This window comes from Homo sapiens, chromosome 2 (assembly GCF_000001405.40).
Source record: "Homo sapiens chromosome 2, GRCh38.p14 Primary Assembly".
NCBI classification, from domain to species: Eukaryota; Metazoa; Chordata; class Mammalia; order Primates; family Hominidae; genus Homo; species Homo sapiens.
In genome coordinates this window covers 147,708,687-147,714,093 of record NC_000002.12, presented here as the reverse complement: position 1 = coordinate 147,714,093, position 5,407 = coordinate 147,708,687, and the positions used below count along the sequence as shown (strand labels likewise).

At 37.2% G+C, this 5,407-nt stretch overlaps 1 pseudogene, besides 1 other annotated feature; it reads left to right on the top strand.

Annotated features, from left to right (window-relative positions):
* On the top strand, positions 540 to 639 carry RNA5SP106 (RNA, 5S ribosomal pseudogene 106; annotated as a pseudogene).
* Positions 4,199 to 4,408: a silencer, noted in NCBI's record as "fragment chr2:148467255-148467464 (GRCh37/hg19 assembly coordinates)". NCBI's record gives its function as "represses an EF-1alpha promoter that drives an FKBP-Casp9 reporter gene in an ReSE screen in K562 erythroleukemia cells {active_cell/tissue: K562}" and the evidence as "EXISTENCE:reporter gene assay evidence [ECO:0000049][PMID:32094911]".

The following is a 5,407-nucleotide window of genomic DNA, read 5'->3' as shown; positions in this document are numbered from 1 at the left end:
TAGCCAGTACAGTAACATCACCAGGCTCCAAGAACATTGTGTAACTTTTCCCACCTGATGCTAGCCCCTATCTGTCATTTTCAGTGTTAATTTTAAAAAGCTGCCCAATTTCCCCTGTATCTGACTAATCTTAGAGAAAGAGGCTGCCTGTAGTATGTGGTGATTTTCAAGGAATTCTTTCTCTAAAACTTGCTTCAAATTAATGCATAGAAGTAAATCAAGTTTTTTCCATATAAAATATCAGCATAAATAACAAGAGCATACTGTGAACAGTTGACCATTATGTTGAGGCATCTAGGTTTACATAAAAATTACTGCTGTGCCAAATTGTGGAGCCAAAGCCAAGTAAATTTCTTAAGCTGTCCTTGAATGCTAGGCATCCTGAAATTGTACTTTTGGATATCCAACTTGCCTCTTTTGTGCTTTTTTTATAAAGATTTATAAAGTCAGACTGCTCAATGGAAATACAATTTTTTCTCTAAGAAAGAAAGGGGAATGATCAACACAGAGAAGGCTGATTTCAGAATATCTAATGCTCAGTCTATGGCCATACCACCCTAAACATGCCTGATTTCAGAAGCTAAGCAGGGTCAGGCCTGGTTAGTACTTGGATGGGAGAATATCTATCACTCAAAGATAGGGTTTGGAGCCTCTCTATTTTTCTGGGCCTGAGCAATCTCCATGGATTATAGCTGCCACAGATGGCACTGCCTGAGAGAAGGAAAAGATGGTGATGGAGGATAAAGGAAAAGGGGGAATCGAAAAAGGGAAAGAGGAAATAAAAGGAGAGAATGGGAGTGACAGAATACTTTCATACGTGGTTCAAGTATTTCTGTGCCGTGATCTTTCACTCTTCAGTTGTTTTTGTTTAAACAGCTTTATTGAATTATTGTTTATCTGCCATAAAATTCACACATGGCAAGAGTACTATTCAATAAATTTAATACTTTGACATTCCACTATTTTTTGGCCTCCATTGTTTAGTCATTAGTTGCATTGGGTTTACCTGTACAAGATGAGGCATTTCTCTCCTGATGCTTTCAAGATTTTCTGCTTGTGTTTGTCATCCAGCAGTCTGACTCTAATGCTTCTATACGTAGATCTTTTTGTGTTGGTCTTACTTGGGGTTTATTGAGCTTCCTGAATATGCAGGTTAATGTTTTTCTCAATTTTGGGACTTTTTGCCCATCATATCTTCAAATTTTATCTGTCTCTTTGTCTCCTCTACTTCTGAAGCTCCCTTTACATATATGTTGCTGTGTTTAATACTGCGCACCAACAGGTCTTTGAGGCTCTTTTCATTGTTCTACTACCTTTTTTTTCTCTCTGTTCTTCAGATTGTATAATTTCTATTGATCTATCTTCAAGTTTCCATATTTTTCTGCCATGTCACATCTTCTGTTGAAACCCTCTAAAGAATTGTTCATTTCAGTTTCTGTACTTTTCATCTCCAGAGTTTTATTTGGTTCATTTATAATATGTATCTCTTTATTGAGATGCTCTTTTTTGCTCAAACATTGCCATCCTATTTTCCTTTAATTCTTTAAACAAAGTTTTCTTTAGTTCTTTGAACATATTTATAAGAACTGCTTTCAAGCTTTTTTCTGCTAAATCCAATATCTGCATTCTCTCAGACAGTTTTCTATTGACTGCTATTTTCCCCTGAGTATGAGTCATAATTTCTTATTTCTTTGCATGTCTCGTAATTTCTTTTTGTTGAATACCAAACATCGTAGGTATCTGCTTTAGCAACTCTGAATTGTGACCTTTTCCTCTGAGGTATTTATTATTGTTTGTTTAATAGCTTGCTTGGACCAAATCTGTAGTCTGTCTGCTCTGAAATGTATGGCCCCAGATGCCTCTACTCAGTTTTATTTTTTCTTGTTTTTATTTTTAAGCCTGGCTTCCTAGGAGTCATATCTGTGTCAACATGGTTTATTGTTCAGCCAACTATTGGTCAGAAGTTGTATTTGAACACCTTGAGCCAGTATAGTTTCAATTCTCTGTTGATAGGCCTGTGTGTAGGCCAGGGGAGTGTATTGAAACTTCAGGCCATTTTCAAGCCTGCACCAGCTTTTACTTTCTTCTGGGCTTTCTTTAATCTCCTTTTCATGTGCTTCAATTCAGCTATGTCAACCAGGAATGTGTGAGTAGCATAACTTCTGATCAATCCAGGATATTTGAAGAGTTTATCATGTCCACTTTAGATGTCTCATTTTCCACAACTCTCTGTTAAAACTCTGGCTAGTCTGCCAGTCCATTATTTTGCCTCAAAGAAGCCAATTACATCAGGCTACTGTAGCTCTGGCCCTCTCTTGCCACCAAGATCTTCTTTTCTTTTCTTTTCTCCTTCATTCCTTTCTTTTCTTTTCTTTCTTTCTTTTTTTTTTTTTTTTTTGATAGGGTCTTGCTCTGTCACCAGGCTGGAGCGCAATGGCTCAATCGTAGCTCACTATAGCCTCAATCTCCCAGGCTCTCAAGCAATCCTCCTGCCTTAGCTTTCTTAGTAGCTGGGATTACAGGCATGCACCACCACACCCAGCTATTTAAAAATTTTGTTGTATAGACAGAGTCTCACTGTGTTGCCCAGGTTGGTCTTGAACTCCTAGCCTCAAGTGATTCTCCTGCCTCAGCCTTCCAAAGTGCTGGGATTATGGGCATGAACCACCATGTCCAACCTCCAAGATCTCCTTTTTTACTAACAACGCTCTAAATCAAGTGAGTTCTCTGCAGCAGCAACAGCAGTAGCAGCAACAGAAACAGCAGCAGCAGAAGCAGCATCAGGAAAGCATATTATTTTCACAGCCTGACCCACTCTGGTTCATCTACTGGGCTGAGAGCTGAAGGAGGGATGGTAGTTACCCCAGGCAAAATTCCAGAGACGTGCGCTGTTCTTATCCAAAGTTAAGTGGTTTTCAGGAATAAATGCATCTCCGTTTGTTGTATGTCTCTGGTCAAATTCCAGAGTGCTGAGATGGTTGCATTTTAGTGTATTATCCATCTTTATATTTGCTTTTGGGACAGAGGATTTTTTTGACTGCCTTTTTTGTGTCATGGTGGAAGTTGCAAGTCTCCTATGCTTAGTTTTAGTGACAAGATCTTCAATGAAGATGAGCTGGTCCATACTCTTTGCATGTGAGTATAAAAGCTCAGTCCATATTCCAAAAGACATGTACTATATTTGACAGTATGTCCCCAAATGGGCATACTCCATGCATTACTTATCCTTCAAGAAGCAAACAGGTTTGAAGTTCTTCCCATACCTCTTCCTCAATTTCTTTGTGAATACTCAGTGTTCTCATTTCCGAGTGCTGATAACCAGGGTGTAGAGGATTATTTTTCTTCTTGTCAATAATAGAAGTCATTTAGTTTTCAGGTTGGGAGACTGAGAGTGGAAGGATATCATCTTTCTGCTTTCTTAGCAATCAATATTTTAAAAAATTAAGTATGTCTGCCATTTAGTGAGTGCATACTATATGCTAGCTACTTTGTTAAGTATTTTGCAATAACTTTATGTATTATCATCTCCATTATTGAGGCTTAGAAAGGTAAGTAACTTGCCCAAGGTCACTGAACCAATAAGTTGTAGATAAGGAATTCCAATGCAGTTTCATTTGACATCTAATTCCATGTTGTTGATGACCATGCAATAATCCTTTGATGTACCACTTCTGCCACACATCAAGGAGACAAATTAGGTTCACACTTGTTTTCAAGACTGACTTCCAACAACATGGCATTGCCTGATTATCTGCCTGTGATGATTTTTGTCTGTCTCAACTGAAATCAGCCGTCTCCAGTCTTTCTTCACTGACTCACTAAATTTAGTTGTAAATTCAGTAATTGACAAAAGGACTTAGGGCATTATGTCTTAAAAATATTTTATTTTTCTAAATCTTTAATTTTCTCAACTAAAGGGTACATCTGGTCACAGGTTGGGTTCCCTGGGAAGCAGACTCTGGAATGGAGATGAACAAACAGATTTATTAGGGAGTTCTCTTGGTATCAACATATTCAAAGAAAATGGAAGAAGGCAGAACTGGGCAGAGGGAAGAAATTGAGCTATGATGCAATTTCAGCTGATTTCTCAGACAACCCTATAGGGAATTTGGAAGCAAGGATCACCTTTCCAGAGTTGGGGTTGGGGAGGCTGGGCCTTTTACAGCTACATATATCTATTCCTGGATGTAGGCCATCCTGGGAAAAAGGTGTGATCTTGGGTGAGGTGGCCTCTTCACTGATAAATAGAACCATGAAGAGGGCTACCCACTGAGAGGTATCAGCCAGCAGCATCTGCCCCCAGCTGGGGAGAGGAAGTCCTTTTCATTAAGGGAGATCTGGAAAGCTCATTGGAGCACCCACCACAGCTGTTTATATTCACATATATTTTTCTGTCATTCTTTAATCATTCATTTACTTAACCAAAATATAATATTTAAGTGTATAATTTTTGCCAGGCACTATGTGAGAGGCTGGGGATATGAATGAAAACTATGCATCAAATTCCTGTTCTTATAATGTTTATTGTCTGGGGAAGGTTGTTTGTATTTAATCTCCTTCCTTGAAGTCTCTTGTTTAATCAGAAATTGATTCTAGATTAGTAATTTAATGTGGCCTAATTTAAGCCAATTTAAATTTTTCATCTAAGCTTTAAGCATTCGGTTCTTGTTTCTCAAATTCTTTTAAATTAGTGGATATCTCTTTTAGATAGAATTATACCAGACTATGTTTAGAAGTTTTTAACACTTATGAAGTCACAATGACCAGTGTAGCGGACTGTGAGCTGAGGCAAAGGAACCTCTGTGTTTAAAAGAAAAGCATTAAAAATTAAGCATAAGTTTTGACAGAATGGAATGATAGCAGCAGTTGAATTTGTTACTTGATATTCCCCTAGCTTCTGAGTATTATCCTATTATTGTTAAAAAAGAAATAGTGTGTTCTAATTGTAATTACTCTTGATATTTTTTCACCCTAGGAGGTAAATTATTAATTAGGGTGTACATTATAAATTACTTTTTTATTAGGTGATTTCTGTCTGACAATAATTTCTAGCTTTTTTTTTAATTAAACTATGTCTCTTGGATTTATTATTAATAGCTTTGGGCTCTGTTAAGAGAGAGGCTAATCGGATTTCTGCTTTATGACTTCACATGCAACTGGAAATATGATTCTGACCAGCTAAGATAACTAGTGAATTATATGTAGCTGATATGAATGGCTCTGGGTGAGAAGCCATTTCTAAATGAAAGTTTTATTATCATATTTTTTTCACCATGATCTTTCATTATAGATTTTAAGTTAATTTATCTCACCATTATACATATGTCAGAAGACATAGAGTCAGTTCTTTAAAGAACTGATCCAGGCCTAAAAAAAATTAGGAAGGGGGCAAGAAAACTCAACATAC